Below are 23,475 nucleotides of genomic sequence, written 5' to 3'. Positions count from 1 at the left end.
ATTTATTCATGTGTTAGATAAGAGTTTGTAATTTTCAAGATATTAAAACTACTTGTTTAAATCAACTAAGAAGTTCTCAAAAAGTACATGAAAATTATCAAGCCTATTACCATCCCATTAAAAGAAAACCCTAAAGTTAGTTGAAATAACAGAAAAAATGGTGAGTAGTAAGCAAAAATAAAAATAAACATTAGAATGTTGCCCTGGATATGCCTGCTACAGGAACAGACAAAGCACTGGGCCTGCTACAAGGGGAAGGAGTGAGATTCCCATACCAAGCAAAGGGCCCAAGTCAGTAGAAACTCCTAACATATGGCAGAAGCATATACGTATGTTTTAGGAAAGTACCCCAATTTAAGCCATTGGGAGTACCTAAGACGAAGAGCAACCAAGTCTGAGTCTATAATCTTAAAAATCAAATTTATATGAAAACAAGCCACCAGTCTGGGCAACAGAGCGAGACTCTGTCTCAACAACAACAAAAATCTCTATCCAGACAAGACAAAATAAAATTCACAGTCTACATGGGGTGGGAAGCCTCAAAATACAGTAAAAACTACAGGAAGAAATTGACAAATTGGCCATTGTTGTGGGTGATTTCAACACATCCCAATTAATCATAAGTCAAGCAGACAAAAAAAATAATAATGAACAAGCAGGATTTAATAACATCAACAGAACCTCATAACCAACTATCAGAAAATAAAAATTTTTCTCAGGTATTCATGAAACATGAGTGACAAACAAAAAAAATACACTGAAATATAATGAAAATCTCACTAAATTTCAAAAAATGTTCTAAGTTTCTGTCCGTAATACAATTAAGTTAAAAATCAGTAACAAAAGATAAATTTGAAAACTATAAATAGAATTTAAAAACACTTCTAAATATTTAGTGAATCAAAAGAAACCATGTTGGAAATTACAAAAAAAAAAAAAACAAACTAAGAACTGAAAAACAAAAATACCACATATAAAAATGTGTGGGAAAAGTTATACTTAGAGGCAAATTTATAGCCTTAAAGACATACTAGGAAAGGAAAGGTTGAAAACTGATGTGTTAGTAGGTCATCTGGTAAGTCTGAAAGAGAAAAATAGAACAAACCCAAAGAAAGGAGTTAATAAAGAGCAGAAACTAATGAAGTAGAAAGAAGGTAACAGAAAGGATCAACAAAGTCAGAGCTACTTCTTAGAAAACACTAAGATAAATAAATGTCTGATAAGACTAACGAAGGGGAAAAAAATGAAACAAAATAGGAAGCCCTAAAACAGACCAATGCATATAAGGACAAACCCACATAAAAGATGTAGCAATGCAGATCCATGAGAAAAGAGGGACACTTAAAGAAACCTGGAATTATCCATATGGAAAAAAAATGAAACTGGACCCCTACTGCACATCATATATAAAACCAATTCAAGATGGACCAATGACATAAATATGAAAGGGAAACAGTAGAACTTTTAGAATAAATTACAGCAGAAAACTATTGTTTTGTGTCCTCTCAGGATGGAAGGATTTCTTAAGAGACAGGGGCATACTAACCAAATAAGAAAAGTGTGAATATTCACTCCTGTAATCCCAGCACTTTGGCAGGCCAAGGCGGGTGGATCACCTGAGGTCAGGAGTTCAAGACCCGCCTGGCCAACACGGCGAAAACCTGTCTCTACTAAAAAAATACAAAAATTAGGCCGGGCGCGGTGGCTCACGCCTGTAATCCCAGCACTTTGGGAGGCCGAGACGGGCGGATCACGAGGTCAGGAGATCGAGACCATCCTGGGTAACACGGTGAAACCCCGTCTCTACTAAAAATACAAAAATTAGCCGGGCATGGTGGCGCGCGCCTGTAGTCCCAGCTACACGGGAGGCTGAGGCAGGAGAATGGCGTGAACCCGGGAGGCGGAGCTTGCAGTGAGTCGAGATCGCGCCACTGCACTCCAGCCTGGGCGACAGAGCGAAACTCCGTCTCAAAAAAAAAAAAAAAAAAAAAAAATACAAAAATTAGCCAGGCGTGGTGGTGGGCGCCTGCAGTCTCAGCTACTCAGGACGCTGAGGGAGGGAGAATTGCTTGAATCTGGGAGGTGGAGGCTGCAGTGAGCTGAGGTCACGTCACTACACTCCAGCCTGGGCAACAGAGCAAGACCCTGATTCAAAAAAAGAAAAAAAGGGTGAATATTTTGACTACACGGAAACTGAGACTTCTGTTCATCAGGACATCATAAAGAAAATGAAAAGATATGCCAGAAACTGGAATAAATTTGCGAAACAAAAAACTAATTAAAGATTAGTATTTAAACTACATATATAAGAATACTTACAAATAAGAAAAAGATAACACATTAGGCAAATAGGCAAAAGGCTTAACTGTAATTATACAGAAAAGGAGATTTCTAAGGCCAACAAACATGAAACAATGTTGAATCTCACTGCCCATCAGAGAAATACAAACCACACAGATGTCATTTTTAAATTCATTAGAATGGTAAAAACTAGGAATGTTGATAGTGCCAAATAATGGCAAAAAACATGCAACAGTGGTGGCTCTTATACACCGCTGGTAGGCGTTTTCAGATGGCAAAATCCTGTTGGAAAATAATTTGGCATTATCATTTAAAGCTAAACATTTGTATGCCCTTCAATGAGTAATTTTGAATTTTATAAAATTTTTTGTACCTGTGTACCAAGTATAAGCATTCTTCATAATAACAAAAAAATTGAAAAATACTCAGATGTCCATTGGTAGAAAAATGGTTACATAAATTAGCCTAACTCATACAATGGAGCATTATATAGTAGTGAGAACGAATGAACTACAGGTAGGGGCGGTGGCTCATGCCTGTAATTCCAGTGCTTTGGGAGGCTGAGATGCCTCCCAAAGGTGGATCCCAAGGTGGATCACTTGAGGTCAAGTTCAAGAACAGCCTGGCCAACATGGTGAAGCCTCGCCTCTACCAAAAAAAAAAAAAAAAATACAAAAATTAGCCAGGCGAGGTGGCAGGTGCCTGTAATCCCAGCTACTCAGGAGGCTGAGGCAGGAGAATTACTTAAACCCGGGAGGCAGAGGTTGCAGTGAGCTAAGATCTTGCCACTGCACTCCAGCCTGGGCAACAGAGAAAGACTCTGTCTCAAAAAAAAAAAAAAAAAAAAAAAAAAAAGAATGAATATAGCTATAAGCAATACCATGAATATATCTAAGAAAAAGAACAAGTAAGTAGAAAAGAAAAAAGACAGATGAGTTCTGAGCATTAACACCTTCTTCTCAGTTCTGTCTCCAAGATTTAACATTCTACACTGAAGTCATGAAGAAATTCTTCCAACTCCTTATGACAAAGAAGAAATGAATTATTTTGATGGTTATCATGACCTCATCTTTTGTTATTCATTTCCTTTGAAAACACCATGATTCCATGATTGAAAAAGAAATCCAGAAATGTGGGGTACTGTGGATCCTGAGCCTCAAGAGTTTGTCCAACGAACAATTACAGAAGCCCAGTAAAGAACTGCTAAGGTCCAAACAGCCAACAAATAACAAGCTGTCAGTCTTCCAAGGAGTACTCTATGAATCTTATGGAAACATTTCTGCACACAATAAAGAAACTAGTGTACAGAAATGTTTACTTGTCTATGATACAGCAATAACTACAGAGTCCAAAAATAAGTCTCCACAATTATTTTCTGGTTATAAATTTGAATTTGCCTACTGAGATATTTCTGTCTATTTTTATGTCTGCTCAAACATCTTTTATGATGTTTAAATGTTTTCCTTGAAATGTATAAAGATTTGTAAATCAGATTTTCTTCTATAATAAAATACCATATGTGCAAGCTTTAAAAAGCCTACAAACATGATTATGAAATTCAAATCAAACAATCATATTTGTGGTATTTTAAAAAGAAAAGATGGAAACAAGTTCAGGATAGCACTTACTTTAGGGGCTGGGAAAAGGTAAGAATATGGAATCAGAGAGGTTTTCACAGCTCTTTAACCATATTGGGATTGATCTAGTTCTTCAGCTGAGCAGTTGGTTCCCAAATGTTTTTTATTATTGACTTGCATATGTTACATATTATCTGGTACACTCAAATTACATGGGTTTTTTTTTTAATTTAAAGAATGTATGGAAGGCACGGAAGTAGATACAGTAAAGTATAAATCACTAACTCATCAAGTGTAATTACTGGGGCCTGTGATGCAAAAGAAGGACAGATACAGCTTTCAGACAGCATTTAGTCTTCCAAGAAAAAGACACTTCTTCCTCTAGGCAGTAAATGAGGGATTTAAGGATAGGTGAAGATATTGATTCATATGGAGGTAGATTAAACAAAAATCAAAGAACCTTATTAGGGAATTAAACAGAAAGATAACTACTGAGAATAAAGGCAAGAGGCATAGATTACTTATTTGAGAAGAATCTTAAAAGTTTACAATACTGTGCAAACTGGGGAACAGTGCCAATCAGGTAAAAAACTATTCACTTTACTACATGAAACTTTCTCTGTACCCTGATCCCCACCCCCAATCTATTTTTCTCTTTATTCTATATAAACCCTTTCATATCACCCAATCCCCAGACTCAAGAGCACATGTTCTGGTAAGCAGTAACTGCAAATTTAAACTAAAACCATGAGAGATAGTTAAAAAATGATACCATCTTGCCTTAAAAGTGAAGAGATACAGCAAATAAAATTATCAATTTCAACAATTATTCTCCGCACTTCATTTAATAAAGTTGTATGACACTTAAAAGATAAGGTACTGTCATATATTCTCCCATCTGAGCATTACAGTAACACTGTGTGAGGAGGGAGGCACTCTGTCTATCTTAGAGATGAGAAAACTGAGCCTCAGGAGTATTAGAAGTCTATAGCCATATTTTTTATGACAACGTATTACTAGGTCTACATAATTAACTATCAAAATGTATGAAGTCTGACTATTAATTATAGTCTTAGTTTTAAAAAAATTGTTAACCACTTACTATGTATCAGGAACTGCTAGACACTGGGGATACAAAGATGAGTAAGACACGATTCCCTCTTTCAAGGAGCTCATAGTCTGTGAGGAGACAACCCTGTAAACAAATAAATAGCTTTCAGTGTGATAATTCCTAAAATAGATGCAAAAGGTAAAGTACTACATCTGGGGCACACAAGAGAAAGTAGATAATCCAGCCTTCAGGGATCAAGAAAGGGATCACAGAGAAGATAACCTCTGAGAGAACTGCGTCTTGAAGTGTGTAATTCTTCAAGAGAGAATTACAGAAAGAACGGCACATCCAGAGAACTGCTTGCATAGTGGACAATGGAACATAAGGACAGTGTAACGTGATCAGGCAAACAGAGAGGGTCTAAACTGCATAGGATCCTATGGAATAGTTTATATTGTATTTAAAATATACCATGCATAGTACTTTAAAGTTTATCCTGATGGTTTCAGTGATGAGAATTGCATTTTGGAAAAATAACTTTGGAAGCTCTGGGGGTTAGATTTAAGATAGTGAGCTTATCTGAACTAGAGCATTGGCACCATGAAAGAAAAACTCAGGATACATATAAGGTCTTTGACCAGATGACTATAGGATGGCTGAGGGTTACAAAAAAACAAGAATCTGAAAAACTAAAATTTCCCACTTCATTGTCTGAGTGGATGATGGTTCCCTAACCAGGATAGAGAGAAGAGTAAGATTATTTGAATTTCATTTCCAGTTCTGCCACTTAAGAGCTGTATGACCAAGTTAACTTTTCCATGGCTCATTTCCTGTAGCAGTAGAATAGGAAAAACAAAGTCATCTATCTCATGTTACAATGTGAATTAAATGAGATAATACATGTAAAACACTTAGCACTTAGAGTATATGACACGAAGTAAAGACTCAATAAAGATGACTTATTGTTTTTATTGTGGGAGAAGGAGGTTAAATATACAAGTTTCATTTGGATATGCAGTTCAAAAGAAAATTGCTAACAACCAGGTGTAATAGACAGCTAGTTAGAGAAGCATGCAGTTGAGGAAACAGGTCCATGGAGAAGAAACATTTGGGAGTCACGGTTTATGTAAGTGGTATTAACTTCCATGGAAGACAATGGGCTTGTTCACAGTGGAGATATTTTGGAATAAATGTTGAACAGAATGAGAGAGTGCTGATCAAATTCTGCTGAGCCGTATTAATACTGTGCTTATCACAAGCCCTCAGGGACAACAATCTGCATAGTGGTATGACTTTTATCAAGTTGTCCTTGGTCCCCAGGATATGAGAAGACAGAAAAACTATATGATCAATTTAGGTTCAGCAATTTAGAAAGCAGGGTTGGCAAAAGAAAAAACAAAGTCTGAGTTTTAGGTCATAATCTATGCTCAGAGGGTATGGTCAGTAATATCTAAGCTGATTATGTTAGTCCAACCCTTTGAAAATCCCACAGAATTGTATAAAGGTTCACTATTATTCAACTGCAAAGAACAGAAAAAAGTCCTGAATGTAGATAATAAACGACATTTCCAGTACTCTTAGGTTATAGATCTATCAAATCCTCATTTAGAAGGCATATCTTAATTGCCTGCTTACTTCAAAATGTCTTTCTCAAGTCAGAAGCAAAATTGTGAAAGAAAGAAAGAGAAAGAAAGAAAGAAATCCAATTAGAATAGATCTGATTCATTCTGCACACTCTGCAGTGTTAAGACTTTGAAAAGTCAAATAAATGCTGTCACATATCTATGTGCCTGGATCAATTAACAAACATACTTATTGGCTGCCTAGTTTATAAAGTGGGTATGGCAAGGATACAGAAATGGTAGAAGACAAAGTCCTGGCTTCAATACTGAGTCTAATTTTGAAGACAACACTAATACACAAGAAAAAAACTCAGTAACAAGATAGGATGATATGTAACAGAGCAGTTTAGTTCAATAAATGTGGAACCTAAAAGGTTAGAAAGCCTGCACTTAGGCAAAGCTATTTTATCAAGCACCAAATTTAAAACTCAATGAATGTGGCAAAGATAAAAATGGATGAACCATGCAGTCTCCCCCCTCAATAGAGCAACTCCAAAGCATAAAATAAATATTTCATTAAAATGTAAACTACAAAATAGAGGACTTAATTTTAAATTAAATTATATATACGAATATAGTAATATTACTTCTACATAGAAATACTGGTCATTTCAATGAATTTATAAAATGAAAGAGTAAACAGGAGGGTGACCAACTCGTCCCAGTTTGCTCAGGAGCATCAGGTTTTAAACTTGCATCCTGGGAAACCTCTCAGTTCTGGCCAAACTGGGATTTTTGATAATCCTAGTGAACAGTGTAATGGCTCTAACTGCCTAGACAGCTCTCTTGATGTATCTCAAAGAAACTTTTCTAGTGGAATCCTGTTATAAAAATATAATTCTGTTAGATTTTTCATTTCCATGTGACCTGCAAATTCAGAAAGGAAAAACCAATTTGATAGGAACTACTCATCACTAAGGCTCAAAATCATATCACTGGAACTACATGTCAGGAGAAGGGAAGAGGGAAGAGTAAGAGGCTTTCTCAATACCCAGGGTCTTTTAGCCCTCCGAATCATTTACTTTTAACAGACTCTCTGTCCATATCATCACCACTGATCTCCCTAATCAAAGACATTTCCAACTAGTGCTACTGTTCTTCCCTGGCCCATGCCATCACCCATCATCCCCATGCCATCATACCCCAAGCCATCACAGCCTCTGCATCTATGCCAACAACTCACCCTTCCTGTATCTTGCTGATCTCCATTCCATTCACTAGCTCATATGGCCCCATCCTGAACTTGATGGGTCCTATTCTTCCCACAATCTCCCACTAGGAATCTCTACCACTGCACTCTTCCCTTAGAATTGGTCTGCTTAACTCAGGAACTACAGTCTCTCCAGCACTCTCCGGCATCCCTTCACTGTAGGGGACCTACTGGCAATGTCATTAATACTTTACATTTGCGAAGCACTTCATAGTTTCAAATTTTCACATACGTTATGTCAAGAAAACAGGCTAAGTACAATTGTTTCCAATTTTACCAGTGCCACGTTAATATCACTTTTCACTTCTATCTCCCATTGGGCTTTTCTTCCCAGGTTCTGTCTTTATTGTGCCTTTCTCTCTCCCTTCAAATAAACTTGGTGTTCTCAATGTATACATCTAACTATTTGGGAAAGAAGCTATGTGATTTCTTTTAAAGCTTTTTATATATAAATAGAGACAGGGTCTCACTATTTGCCCAGGCTAGTCTTTAACCTCTGGCCTCAAGTGATCCTCCCACCTGGGCCTCCCAAAGTGCTGGGATTACAGGCATCAACCACTGTGACCCGCCAAAAAATTAAAGCTTTCTTGTCCACACTTGACCTCTCCCTATATCACTGATTGATCCATTCATATTCAAAACACAAGAATGCCCCTCTCCTGATAACTTACAAGTGTGCTGCAGAGTAAAACAGAATAGCACTTCTGAGCTGTACCATTCCAGTGATTTGAAGAGTACTTGCAATATCTACCAGACAAATAACAAATAAACATGGAATCTACAGGTACCTTTTAGCCTCTGACTTTAATTTGGGTGTTTATTTTAAACACCCAATAAATGTGGAACCTAAAAGGTATTGAAGCCTAAAAATGCCTATCTAACCACAGAATCTAATAACTTCGACTATCTTCCCTCCATCTTTCTGTATTTTTAGTCAATTTCAAAGTTCCTTTCAGTGCACAATATATGGCCCTTTAGGAAGTATTTCTATGAGAAAAATGTATTTTTCTTCAAAAGGCCCAATTTCCTAAGTTAGTATGAATACCCAATTCTTACTATTCGTTATCACCCAATTTCAGATTTTCAACCAGAGGGAGTTAATACATTAATTTTTAATTAACGTTAATACATAGATTTTTTTCTGAGCCTTTTGGTTCTGTTTTCTCTTACTCTCTAATTTTTACATCTTCTTTTCCAGTAACATAAATCTAGTCCTTGTTTCTTGACTTTTCTTTTTCAGATATATCTCACATCTCCCCTATCATAAATGCACTCTCTTCCTATTTTTCAGCCACTTCATTTTCTTATAGAAAGTGAGTTTCTACTCAATTGTATTTTTAATTTTTAATTTTACTTTATTTTCTCTCTTTCTTTCTTTCTCTCTTTCTTCTTTCTCTCTCTCTCTCTCTCTCTCTCTTTCTTTCTTTCTTTCTTTCTTTCTTTCGAGGCAGGGTCTCACTTTTGTCGCCCAGGATAGAGTGCAGTGGCATAATCATGGCTCACTGTAGGGTCTAACTATTGGACTCCTGCTATCCTCCTGCCTGAGACTCTCAAGTAGTTGACACTACAGGCACGCACCACCATGCCTGGTTAATTTCTTTGTTTGTTTTTTGTAGAGATGGGGTCTATGTTACCCAGGCTGGTCCAGAACTCCTTAGCTCAAGTGAGCCTCCCACCCCAGACTCCCAAAGCACTGAAATATTTTTTATTTTTAAAGATTTATTCCTCTCAAACAATTACACAGAAAACTCTTCTGCTTTACAGTACATTACCTCAAAATTTACCTCTCATTAACATGTATAATGTAAGCAAAACATATTCTTACATTAAAATGCACCATACATATCACAGTTTTGAGTATGAAGCACCAAATCTTGATTTTTCTGTAGATTCCCTTTTTAATGCCAATTTTAACCATTTCTAAGCTATATGAAAGCCTTGTTCTCAAAATTATTCTATGACCCACCTACTCTAAACTATTAGTTACATAATGAATACAAATTTATTTCTCTCCCTCAAAGCAACCAACACATAAAATTCACTTTATTTACAGAAATTCAAGTCCAATAGCTAGTGAAGCTATTTAACTCAATTCTCTTTTCATTCTCATTAATTCTAATCAAGTACATTTTTGAGTACTTTAAATTCCATCTATGTCCTTGCCTTCTAAATAGCCCTGCATCACAGCAAGGCTTCAGTCACACCAGAAAATATGATCAGAGCAATTTAATGTGCTCTTCTTATCAGGGTTCTTGTCCCAATTAATGAGAAAAGTTACAATTACATACCCAAAGCAAAACTAACTAACCACCCTTTCAAGGAAAATGTGTTTCACGTACACTACTTTTGTCATTTTAGTGACAAAGCACTAAAAATACTTCCTGGCACAGAATAAATACCTAATAAATAAAATCAGCAAGACCACAGACAAATTTCTTTTTTTTTTTTTTTTTTTTGAGATGGAGTCTCACTCTGTCACCCAGGCTGAGTACAGTGGTGCGATCTCGGCTCACTGCAACCTCTGCCTCCCAGGTTCAAGTGATTCTCCTGCCTCAGCCTCCTGAGTAGCTGGGGCCACAGGTGCCCACACCCGGCTAATTTGTTTATTTTTCGTAGAGACGGGGTTTCACCATGTTGGCCAGGCTGGTCTTGAACTCCTGACCTCAAGTGATCGGCCCACCTCGGCCTCCCAAAGTGCTGGGATTACAGGAGTGAGCCACCATGCTCGGCCCATAGACATATAATTTAACCTCTTTCAGTAGCCTTTGTTAAAAAAAAACTTATGGGAAGCCATTGTTTTTGGACTAAGCTCCTGCACTAGGCCCCAAAAGACCAGACCAAGACAAAATGAAGCCACCCATGCTAAATGCCACATAATCAAACTAAAAGTTCAAGGAAGCAGACAGTTAAAGCAGACCAGCAGACCAGCTTTCCCTAAAAACAGGTAACAGTCTGACTGAGTCAACATAATAAGGAATTCCCCTCTGCTTTAATCCTTACAAAAAAGTAACCTGACATTAACCAGTCAGCTTTTTTTGTTGTTGTTTCCTCGTCCCCATCTCACAAAACCCAGTGTTCTGCCACTACCCAGCAGAAGTTCTCATTCCATATTGTAGAATGGAGACTGCCCCATTCATGGATCATGAATAAAAGCCAATTTGATCTGTAACTAAATTTGTGATAATTTTGTTTTTTGATACCTTCAAGGTAAGATTATATAAGCACTTTATGAATTATCGAGTACTATATAAATGCTAAATTATTAAGCATGAGAAAAATATTAAATAATATTAAATACGAGAAACAATTTTCAATAATGAAAGTTAAATAATGCATTTATAGAAAAATGCAGATAGTCCTGCTATATTTATCTGATTTGTATCTGTTAATTCTAAACACTGAGGTGCTTTTGAGATACTAATCCCAGCTTTTATTTTAAATAATTTCTGATGTAAATTTCTGTAAAAAGACACTACACTCGATCTTGTCTAGCATTGAGTCCTTGAAATTAAATATACCCTCCTACTTTCTGAAGTGGTATACCTACACACTGTCATCTTCTAGGATAATGCCTTCCCTCCCTTCTCCTCCCTCATTTAAACCCTCCTTTTTTGGTCATCAAACAGATTTGGGGCTCATGTACTACTTAAAATAAACAAGAGCAACAAGAAAAAGGGAGAAAAAAATTCCTTTGATGAACTCACTTCCTAAAATAATGATGTCTAAGCTTGTCACCGATTCTTCTACCCTTGCAATTTGGTTGCTGCCCTCACCACTCTACTGAAATATTTCTGTTCCCCTTCCAAGGCCAAACAGTGGCCACCTTACACCTACTTTCTCCTGGACCTGTCTGCACCATAAGACTACAATTCAATCACTCAATAAACACTGATGTGGCCTCCATTCTCTCCCTGAAAAATACTGACATAAGCCTCTAATTTAATCTTTCTAGTATATCAATTTACCATGTGAAAAAAAAAAAGGTGATCAATAATCAAAGAAACTAGGCATTAGGCATTTTAACAATTTTTTGAATGAAGTTTTCCAGTATATATATATATATATATATATATATATATATATATATGCCTTGTATATATATATGCCTAGTATATATATACATATGCCTAGTGTATATATATATGCCTAGTGTATATATATATGTGTGTATATATGTGTATATATATGTGTGTATATATGTGTGTATATATATGTGTGTGTATATATATGTGTATATATATATGTGTGTATATATATGTATATATATATATATATACACACACACACTAGGCATATTTTCAGGTAATATATTAAACACTAGAAATATAAAAGCCATATAAAATATGCTCTTTGCTCTCAGTGAGTTTAAAATTTAGTAGCAGAAACAGACACGTGACTCAATTTTAAGTTCATTGACAGAAAGGGGTGTGCAGACAGTAACTACAGAAGAACAAAAGCACCTTAATATTATTTGGAGGTAAGAGGTAAAGAGTTGTCAGGAAAGAATTCTGAGAAATGGTAACAGTTGAGATGAGTTGTGGAGGACTCCAATGCAGCAGCTGCACATACAAAAGGAAAGAAGTGGAAAGGAAAGACATGCTTTCAAGGCATTCTGTGCCCAGAGAGGTGAGATGACTAACATAAGCAGGTTAAAAAGTAGTTCTGTTAGGAAGGGTATGGGGAGAGAAATCTAAGAGACAAAACTATTAAGGCAGAAAGAAGCTATAGCATGAAGAATACCAGGAAAGCCATACAGAACCACTACATTTTCAGCAGAGAAGGAATATATGTGTATTTTAGAAAAACCCCTTTGACAGTGTTGTAAGGGTAGCCTGAAAGTAGTCTAGGCAGAAAATGGCCTGAAATTAGGGGAAAGAGAAGAAGCAGCAGAGGTATTGAGGAGCAGAATCTATAAGTGGTGGACTACTGAGATGCAGGGGTAAAAGAAGGGGATATGTTAATATGTCCCAGATTTCTGCCTAGGCCAATTACTTCTTACCATCACTACCACTACAACTCTTATCTCCAAGCCCATAATTTCTCATCCAAACTAAGCACAGCTTGCTAAATGGTCTTCCTGCCCCACTCTTCACTCCCAACCTAGATCCATCCTCTACCCAGCACAGTGATCCTTCTAAAGCAGGATACATGAAGGTAACTCTGTTTCCAACGTTCTCTCATTTTAACTACAATAAATCCAAACTCATAAATGCCTATGTGATCTGTTGCCCCACCTCTTCCTTCTCCTCTTTATCTATTCCTGACATTCCTCAACCTAATTACCCTGAATGCTGCAAAGGAGCCTTTGCATTCACTGCTCCATCCAATCAATAGTCCTTTGGCTGCCTTCTCAGTCTTAGAACTCAACTTATATATGATCTCTTCAGAAAGAATTCCTGATCACCATAGGCCAACTCTAGCACCTTGCCCTATTTTATCTGTCCTAGTAATTCTCAATTACAGACGTTCATATATTTTGTCCTCTCACTTCTATCCATACCCCCAACTCTGCAAGGTAAGATCCCTGAGGACAGAGACTATCTTATTTACCATTCTATTCCTAGAACCTACGCCAGAGTCTGGCTGGGGAAAGGCCCCCAATTAATAGTTACTGACTGAGACACAGCACAGCAAAGAGATATATTCTGGAGGCAAAGGTGTGCATGGCATCCTATGAGCAAAGCTTGAGAGTAAACTGAAAGCCAGCCATGCTGTGACAGGTACCCACTCAGGAAAGGCCTACTGCATAGGGGGCAGAACCTAGGTAACCCCAGGACTAACAGTCTGGACAGCAGGCAGGAACTATGAAAAGGGGTGAGGAAAACCAAAAGAAAACTTCAAGGAAGAATTTCAAGGAGGAGGAAACAGTGACCAACTCCACCAAGGTAAGATCAGTAAAAAGAGCAAATTGTTTACTGAACAATGTGAAAGTTACGAGGCCCTTAGCAAGAGCAATTTTCATGGAAAGGTAGGACCTGAAGCCTGTGGCTTACCAAGCAAAAAAAACCACCAGAAACTTATTTTCAGATGATTTTGACTATCAAAGAGAAACATAAGCGTAAAAGATGTTTAGAGGATTGGTTTGGTTTGGTTTTTTGTTTTTTTTTTGAGACGGAGTCTCAGTCTGTTGCCCAAGAGAAACAGAAGCGTAAAAGATATTTAGAGGATTGTGTTTTTTTTTTGTTTTTTGTTTTTTGTTTTTGAGAGGGAGTCTCACTCTGTTGCCCAGGCTGGAGTGCAGTGGCGCAATCTCAGCTCACTGCAAGCTCCACCTCCCGGGTTCACGCCATTCTCCTGCCTCAGCCTCCTGAGTAGCTGGGACTACAGGCGCCCGCCACCACGCCCGGCTAATTTTTTGTATTTTTAGTAGAGACGGGGTTTCACTTTGTTAGCCAGGATGGTCTCGATCTCCTGACCTCGTGATCCGCCCGCCTCCGCCTCCCAAAGTGCTGGGATTACAGGCGTGAGCCACTGCGCCCGCCGAGGACTGTTTTTAATGATGAAAGAGAGTATTATTTACAGGCAAGCAGAAGCTGTAGTCATTCACTGATGATGATCACTAACACAAGATCCCTGAGAAGGCAGAACTGGCTGAGATTAAACACAGGTATAGACAAAACCGCTCTTACTCTGAGATTTGGAAGAGAAAAGAATGCTTATCTTTGAAAATGTCTGGAAAGAAAGTTAAGGAAATGTTACCTAATGTCTCCAATTTTCTCGGTGAAGTAGGAGACACTCTTTGGGGCACTGGGAATACAATGGTCAATGAGAATAGACAAAATTCCCTGTTTTACCAGGTATGTGACTAAGGTAAGGAATTTGAGGCAGACAGAGGAGAAACTTGGGCCCAGCTGAGTAATGGCACCAATCCCCATAGGCAAGACTTTTCTTCCAGCTCATTTTAATAGTTCATGGTTAGAAACAATGAAACTGTTAGAGTTGTTTATAGCATAGGTTCCAGAAGAGAAAGGGGTACACTCCAACTATTATCAAACTGGTCCTGGTCATTCAAATCGATTATTTATACACACTCCCTCTCTTACCTCCATTCATTAAAATTTAGGTAGAGAAAAAAAGATGATTCTCCAGAAGAAAAGTTCACTATTCACACATATTTCTAATTCATTGCCAATTGTCCCCAATCTGGCTGCATGGCAGAATCACCTGGGGACTGTGTTGGGCATTCTAGGTGATTCTCATACAGATTTGGATACCAACGACTTCCCACATGTTTCTCCCACTACTCTTCTCCTTCATTTCTAATCATCTGTCCGCTCAGGTGTCATCTCTCCAGTTTTGAACTAGTTGCTATTTGTCTTCAGAGCACTCTAACCATGTTTTTTTCTCTATCTCTCCCGTTACACTGTTAAAGTCTTTATTATCAAGCTTCATTGTAATTCCAGCCTCTAGCCCAATGTCTGGCCCCTACTAAATAATAAATGGGCCAGTCATGGTGGCTCATACCCATAATCCTAGCACCTTGGGAGGCCAAGGTGGGTGGATTAATTGAGCCCAGGAGTTCGAGACCAGCCTAGGCAACACGGTAAAACCTTGTCTCTACAAAAAAATAGAATTATATATACCCAAAATAAAGGAAATTAAAAAAAAACAATAGCTGGGTGTGGTGGTGCATTCTTGTAGTCAAGAGGCTGAGGTAGGACAATCACTTGAGCCTGGGGAACTTGAGGCAGTGGTGAGTTGTGACGGCACCACTGCACTCTAGCCTGGGAGACAGAGCTAGACCTTGTCTCCAAAGGAAAAAAAAAAAAACTCCTCAATAAATGTGTATTAAATGAAGATACACAGATACACAATTAATAAAACAACATATTATTATGTTAACTGCTAAGACAACAATAAAAGATGGCTAGAGTGGTTAGGTTAAGAAAATACCTATATAGCATAGAACTGAAATTTTACATTAAAATATCATTAAGAAAATACTATGCAAGTGGGACAATACCCACCTACATCCTCTCCCATCTCTGCCCTAATCTAAGATTCAAGTCCATGCTCACCTCACCAATATTTCATCTCCACAGCCCAAAACAAATGCTCAATAGAAAAACGTCCAATACAAAAGTAAAGGATCTAAAATGCTAGTTTGACTTATTAAATACTCAAAGAAACAAAAGAATATAAGAGAGAAGCTTATTACACTTGGATACTCCCCGACCTTAATTAAACATTCCAAACACTTTAGAAGTCATATGCTAACCCCCAAACTATCAAACATTAGACCCCAAAAGTTTAAGGACAAGATGGCTTCTTGGAATACAACACAAATTTTCCCACAGAAACATTGTGACAAATGGTGGTAGGATACCAACACCAAGCCGTGAAAGCCCACTGGTACTGTAACAGCCAAATTGTTAATACTTTACAAGGAAAACTATCGTTCCATGGAGGTATGTCAGGGCTTCCACCAATACTTATTTGTGTGCATATACACTGTTCCTGCAAAATCAAAGCAAAATTCTGAAATAAATTGCTGAGACTAAAAAACAGTACCTAAATCCCTTTGCATGATGCCTAACACAAAACAAATTATAGCTACTTTTATCCAGAATCCCTGATATTAAACTTTTGTCATCAAAACAGCTTTATTTATCTCACTGAATACTAAATTCCAAGAATGCCAGGGCAAGTCCTCGCCACTGTATCCAGCTTGCCTCCCTCAAAGCTTGGCATACTGGAAGTGTTTAATACATATTTGCTACTGAAGAATACTTAGTGTCAACCAAATGCCCAAACAACTAAGTAAATACGAGCAGTAAAACCAAATGGCCTATTTATTCTAGATGCTCTTTTAAATGAACCATCATACTTTTCATACTGATTTTTTTCCCCTTAAAGTTATCATCAAAATGAAAAGAGTATTTGGCTGTTAGCAGTCATATAAAAAAAGAAAAAAGTGTAAAGACTCATGTAGAAAATATCCCTCCAAGAGTCATCAGTTTAGAAAACACTGTTTTAGACAACAAACAGTTCTATATTAAATGGCTGAGTGAGATGGGGCATCTAAACCTCACTCGGCCTCAGTTTTCTTATTAAATGAGAATTGGAACATAGAACATATTGATAATTTTTAGCTTAGAATTACTTCACTGAAAATAGTGCATATTTCATGAAAATATGAAATACACAGAAACCATCCATAATTATTATACCAACCTCAGAATGATTTATACAATTATTTTCCTCAAATAGACTTTTATAAAGTTGCAATCCTTGTATACAAACCATTTTATTTTCTGTTCTCCACCCCTATTTACAGTAAAAAGCTATCCATTACAAACTAGACGAAGTCGTTGGCCAACATCAGAGAACAATTTAATTTATGCTTACAGTTGTGGAAACAACCTTGCAACAATATTCTAGAAGGCCACAAGGTGGTGATGTTGCACCATAAAAAGAACCTTTAAAAAATATTAAAATAGATTACACCAACTTCCCCAAAATGAAATTGACAGCTTTCCTCCATTGCAGGAAAGGATATCAGTTACTATGTTTACTAGAAAACATTAGAAAGAAAAGACAATGTATTCATCAAACTTAGCAGCAACTATTCCAATTTTTAACCTAAGCAGCTATGGACCTTTAAAAGACAGACAAAAACATAGGGCTTTCTTTGGCATCGTTACTCTATTATGTCAACAAAAGATAAACCTAAATGGTATCAGTACAGTACTGAGAATGAGGTAGTTTTTTTCTTTTAATTTGCTATAATTTCTCAGTTTGTTATACAATATTATGTTTGCATATTATACCAAATACCAAAGATTTTACAGTAAAAAAAAATATATATATAAATATATATATGCGTGCATTTGATAAGTTTTTCCCCTTACCCTAGTGAACATCAGAAAACAGGTTTCCCACTCCTATACTGCATGTTTCTGAAGAAAATATGATTCTAAGAACATTAAAACTTGGGTTCCAAACTTACAGAATCAACATAAGTTAACATATAAAAAGAGATGTGTATATACTTGCTAGGCAGAAAGGTAAGATGATAAAGCCCAAGACTTCATACACTTAGGTGGGGCACCTGAGTGATGCAGAAAACACAGCCAGTCTTAAAACACGGAACCTGAACCAGGCCTCTGACTCCAAAATATAACAACAGCAGCAAACATTTACTGGGCTCCTATTATATGTCAGTCACTTTACAAAAAAATTATCTCTAACATTATCAATTATCCATTAGAGTCATCATTATTAGTCCCATTAACAGATAAGAAAAATTAGGTTGAAGTAAATTGCCCAGGGCCATGAAACTAGTAAGTCTGAATTTGAAGCCAGATTTCCTTGGGCTCAAAGCTAATGCTCTTTTCACTACATACGCACTGCAGAAACAAAATATAAAATAAGAAGTGCTGAGCTAACCCATGCCTTAAAATGAGAAGTTTGCTGTATCAATCTGAAGTTACTATTCTCTTATCAACTAAAGCTTACGTCAGGTGGTTTTGTGGGCTGTTAAGCTAGCCTTTGAAAATACCTTTCCTTAAGGTTAAAAGAGAAAGAACAATTAATCGTAAAAAGATAAGTGTGTAAAAGTATAAGCACATAAACAATGGAGTAGGTAAGCTGTTAGAGATCATGTTTAACACATAATTTCCACGTATTCTGGGAAAGCATTCAGGACAACATGACATTCTCACTCTATGAAGATCAAACTTCAGTATAATCTCTTATTTCAAAATGACACAAACATTTCCATAAGTAATTGGTCACTTTATTCAAACTGATATTTTAATAGTATATTTGCTTAACGACTTTTTTCCTTAAAATTCAAAAATTTTTAATATTTTGGCATTCTTGAAATACACATACTTGCTGCATTTATGAAGCAGCACAAAGCAGAGTCATGGAGCTGAGCTGAGGATGAGAGGTGATTAAGAGAATTACTCAGAAACACAGAGCTTCTTAATGGCAGGCCAAACCCAGAACTGCTGATGAGACTAGCACTCTTCTACACTGTGCTCATCATCAGGATATCATTACTCAAAGTTATGTTCACCTCAAAACATCTCCTGATTGTTTCTTAATACATTAAGAATTCTAATTTATCAGCATTTAAGCAGCCATGGAGATGTCCTAACTCTTCAATTCCAAAGTGCCAATTTTAAGTTTGAGAAGAGCACATTTTGGTAATGTAATGCAGAGAACAGTTTTCAAGTCGGACAGACCTACATGCAAACTTCAACTCTATTTGTGCATATTTAACCTGAGTCTCAGTTTTCCTGTCTGTCAAATGAGGATAATAACACCAAATTAATATAGTATTGTGAGGGTTTTTTTAAAAAAAGGTGTTAATATTAACTGTGGGAAAGTGGAACTCTTTCTAGAATCAGGAATAAGAAGGTGCCCAATAATAGTTAATTTCCTAACCCCATCCCACCCTGATCACCACCACTCTAACCACACTCTCAACTACTCTAAGGCACAAAAACTCTCAATATTTTTCTTCCATACTTCCACAACAATATAGAGAAAAGTAGGTAAAGAAAGCCCCTCACACACCTGCAGTAAGGATTAGAAATTACATTTAAGAACTTGAAAGGAATACAGTACTGCCACATTTTGTTATAAATACAAAATTTCAAGATATTTTCAAGTTATTCATGTAATAGATACACAATGTTAATTCACTATTTACAAATACTCTTCCTAAGCATTTTAAAGCATGCCATAAAGGATAAACTTTCATCAGATATTCCTCATTCTTAGAGGAAAGTATTAGAATCCAAAATACAGGGACACAATCCTTTATCCACTGACCCAAAATGCAAAAAGCTAAAAAAAAAACTGAAAGTTCATTTAGCAACAAAATCTGACCTGATGTGTGGCTATTTATTAACCTTACTTATCCACACACAAGCATTTGCCAAACAAACTACAGGCACTGCCCTAGACTTTACTGCAGTTTTATTTAACAGCATATGGAATGGATTACCTTTCCAAAATTCAAGAAAATTCTGAAATAGATCTGACATCAATGAGAAGGTATTATAGACCCAGCCTAGTGAATATGTACTGAAAACTAAGTGCCAGGTTTAAGTCACACAAGAAACCCATGAATTGGGTATATTATTCTCAGTTTACATATGATAAAACTAGGGCTTAATCTGAAGTTAACTTAAACAGTAGCACTCAGCCCATGGGTGCCAACACCCAATTCTAGGTTTGTCTTACTTTATTTAAGGCCCGAGCTCTAAATAGCCAATACGTTAATGGAAAAATTAAATCACAAAGAAAGTTTTAAAACAAGTTACAATTACCAAAATTTTTAACCTAGAAAAATGGTATTCCCAAGTATAATATATACGTTCTGTTCGGTATTCACTTGTAAACATCGACACAATATTTCACAGGGCATAGACAAAAAGAGATGGCTGTTGTTTTTCCTCAAAAGAAAGGGCTCAAAGAGACAGTGAAAACAAACAGATACAATAGGCTTCTCATGGCCAGGTGCCTTGGCTCAAGCCTGTAATCCCAGCACTCTGGAAGGCCAAGGCAGGCGGATCACTTGAGGTCAGGAGTTCGAGACCAGCCTGGCCAACATGGTGAAACCCCCATCTCTACAAAAATTAGCCAGCAGGTGTCACGTACCTATAATCCCAGCTACTTGGGAGGCTGAGGCAGGAGAATTGCGTGAACCCAGGAGATGGAGGTTGCAGTGAGCTGAGACTGCACCACTGCACTCCAGCCTGGGCAACAGAGTGAGACTCCGTCTCAGAAGAAGAAAAAAAAAACAATAGGCTCCTCAAAAAGAAATGCAAACTAATCCTTTCTACTCAAATTGAGAAAAAATAAATCATGGGTTTGGCATATTTTTGACCACAAAATTACTAACATAGCAACCTATGTTTATTTCAACCATATTTTTAGGTTTTTCCAGGAAAAAAGATCTACTCTTCTGATGACAGGATCAGATTTTGGATCCTGCTGGTCACAGGACTGAGGAGGGTTTAAGTGAAGTAGCCCGTAGGTGTCATCACTTTGGCCCTAAATAACAGTTAGAGATTAGCTTGAAATTTGTTTTGTTTCTTTCATTAATTTAAAATTCAAACCTTTTCTCATGACTTTCCAAGTCAACGCCCTTACCCTAAGCAAAAGCTTTTCCCTATAAGAGACACATCATGCCCCCAACCAACCTACTTTCTAGTCAAAAGACCAAATTCCAAATTTGACACATTTCAGTCAAAAATCTCTATTTTTAAGTGGCTTACCTTAGCTAAGTGAAAAGCAATCAGACTATTTAATAATGAATCATAACTTCTAGCTTAACTTTTAGTAGGCATTTTTTAAAAAGAATTAGCTTCACTCAAAATAATTTCTGCTTTTGTAGAAAGAAGTACGGAGGAAATGTTTTGAACAAGGAAGCCTAATGGACATCTCTTTGCAGTATCATTTCTCTTGCCTACTCCTCACTGTAATCACCCTGTATCAAGTTTCTAGAGTTTGTTTGGATCAAGTCCTTGGCAATTATCTTAGGCTGTTTTAAACATCTGGAAGGTTCAGATGTTAAGCTCTCTTTGTATTTACATTACACATGTGTACTTAAAGAATACTTGAGGGCTGGGCATGGTGGCTCATAACTTTAATCCCAGCACATTGGGAGAGAGGGCAAGGTGAGAGGATCACTTGAGTCCAGGAGTTCAAGACCAGCCTGGGAAATAAGGTAAGACCCCCATCTCTAAGAAAAATAAAAAATTAGGCAGGGCACGGTGGCTCATGGCTATAATCCATCCCAGAACTTTGGGAGGCCAAGACGGGTGAATCACTTGAGGCCAGGAGTTCGAGACCAGCCTGGCCAACATGGTAAAATCCCGTCTCTACTAAAAATACAAAAATTGGCTGGGCCTGGTGGCATGCACCTGTAATCCCAGCTACTCGGTAGGATGAGGCACAAGAATCATTTGAAACTGGGAGGGAGAGGTTGCAGTGAGCCGAGATAGCGCCACTGCACTCCAACCTGGGTGACAGTAAGACTCTGTCTTAAAATAAATAAATAAATAAATAAAAATAAAAAATTAGCTAGGTGTCGCGGCACACACCTGTACTCCCAACTACTAGGGAGGCTAAGGTGGGAGGATCGTTTGAGCCCAGGAGGTTGGTTAAGGTTGCAGTGAGCCATGATCTTGCCACTGCACTCTAGCCTTGGGTGACAGAACAAGACCTTTTCTCAAAAAAAAAAAAAAAAAAGGAATATTTTAGCTAGCTAGCTAGAAAAATGAACTCTGACAGAGCACACTAGGACCCCAAATAACCAATTCAGTTTCTACCAACAGTTCTCAAACTAATGTGCATAAAATCTCTTGAGATATTTGCAAAAAATGAAGATCCCTAAGCTCCACTCTCAAGGACCATATCAGAGATCTCAAAGGATACTCAAGAATCAACATGTTTAATAAGCATCCCAGACGACTGTTATATAAGGATTGCGCTTTGACAAACACTGGTCAATACAATATTTCATCTAATGATGGTGTTAATGATTTCTTGTTCCCAGGCTGCACAGCAAAACCATCACTAGCTGATATATTGCCAGCCATGTTAAGTCAGTATCCCAGATTTCGTGCTTACCCTTTTAGCAACTTTTTTTTTGTTTATTTGGCCAGGCCTGGTGGCTCATGCCTGTAAATCCCAGCACTATGGGAGGTCGAGGTAGGGGGGATCACTTGAGCCCAGGAATTCAAGACCAGCCTGGGCAACATCTCTACTAAAAAAAAAAAAAAACTAGCTGAGCATGTTAGTGCGTAACTGTAGTCCCAGCTACTTGTGGGGCTGAGGTGGGAGGATTGCTTGAGCCCCCGAGGTCAAGCCTGCTATGAACCATGATCACACTATTGCTCTCTAGCCTGGGAGACAGAGCTGTCGGAGACCCTGTCTCAAAAAAAAGCTGGGGGTGGAAATTTGATAAGGAGCTCTGCCCATGCCAAAACGAAGCTAGAACTGTCTTTGAGAAATGAGTAGCTCACAGCAAAGTGAATACTTGTTTGAATTTTCAACTTCATAATACTGAATTACGAGCAATAAACATGATTTAAGGGCTTACGTTCTAGCCACCATGCTTTCTGCTTTATAAACATTATTTCAATTAATCCTTACAAAAATCCATTAAGGATGGTATTCTTTACATTTTACAAAAGAAGAAACTGAGGCAATCCTGCCATTAAGCAATACTACCAGAAGTCAGGTCTGCCTGACTTTAAACTGTGACTCTTAACCTGTATGCCAAAAGTGCCTCTACCGTTAAAAACTTAAAAAGAGAAGAACAATCTAGTTTGTTTACTTCTAAGGTAAAGAATATCCTACTTTATACAAAACAGGTTCATTTAACTAATTCTCCTCCCCAGTCTAACTAAACACAGACAAAAAGTAGGACATCTTGGCAAGTTGGGGCTAATGTGTAACCACAGTATCCTAATTTCAAGTCAGGACTCAACAGTCAGCTTCCACCCAGCCCAGTCAATCAGATTTATGAGTATACTGAACAGCTATCAAAAGAACTTGTTTTCCTTGTTTCCTAAAAGGCTATCATACCTACATTCTGTTAATGCTAGGATATTTTTTAACTACCCAAATAATTTAGGGTAGGGAGGACAGCCATCAAGAAGCACCTTCATGTAACTCTATCCGTGCCCTTCTTTGTGCCCTGGCCTTTCCTATTTCTATAAATCATGTTTCTCAGTACATCCAATTACC

At 37.4% G+C, this 23,475-nt stretch overlaps 1 protein-coding gene across 9 annotated transcripts in view; it reads right to left on the bottom strand.

Moving 5' to 3' along the window:
* WWP1 (WW domain containing E3 ubiquitin protein ligase 1) overlaps positions 1-23,475 on the bottom strand; it is a 125,957-nt gene that overhangs the window by 94,492 nt on the left and 7,990 nt on the right. For 5 of the 9 annotated variants that reach the window (NM_007013.4, XM_024447056.2, XM_005250761.5 and 2 more), the window contains exon 2: positions 4,981-5,073. The exons of the other annotated variants lie outside the window; for them this stretch is intronic. The gene's annotated coding sequence lies outside the window, so the exon portion shown is untranslated. The remainder of the gene's footprint in view (positions 1-4,980; positions 5,074-23,475) is intronic. 9 annotated transcript variants of the gene reach the window in all.

Source organism: Homo sapiens, chromosome 8, assembly GCF_000001405.40.
Source record: "Homo sapiens chromosome 8, GRCh38.p14 Primary Assembly".
In the NCBI taxonomy this organism is placed as follows: Eukaryota; Metazoa; Chordata; class Mammalia; order Primates; family Hominidae; genus Homo; species Homo sapiens.
Note: the sequence above shows the minus strand (reverse complement) of the source record. Positions and strands in the feature narration are given on the sequence as shown.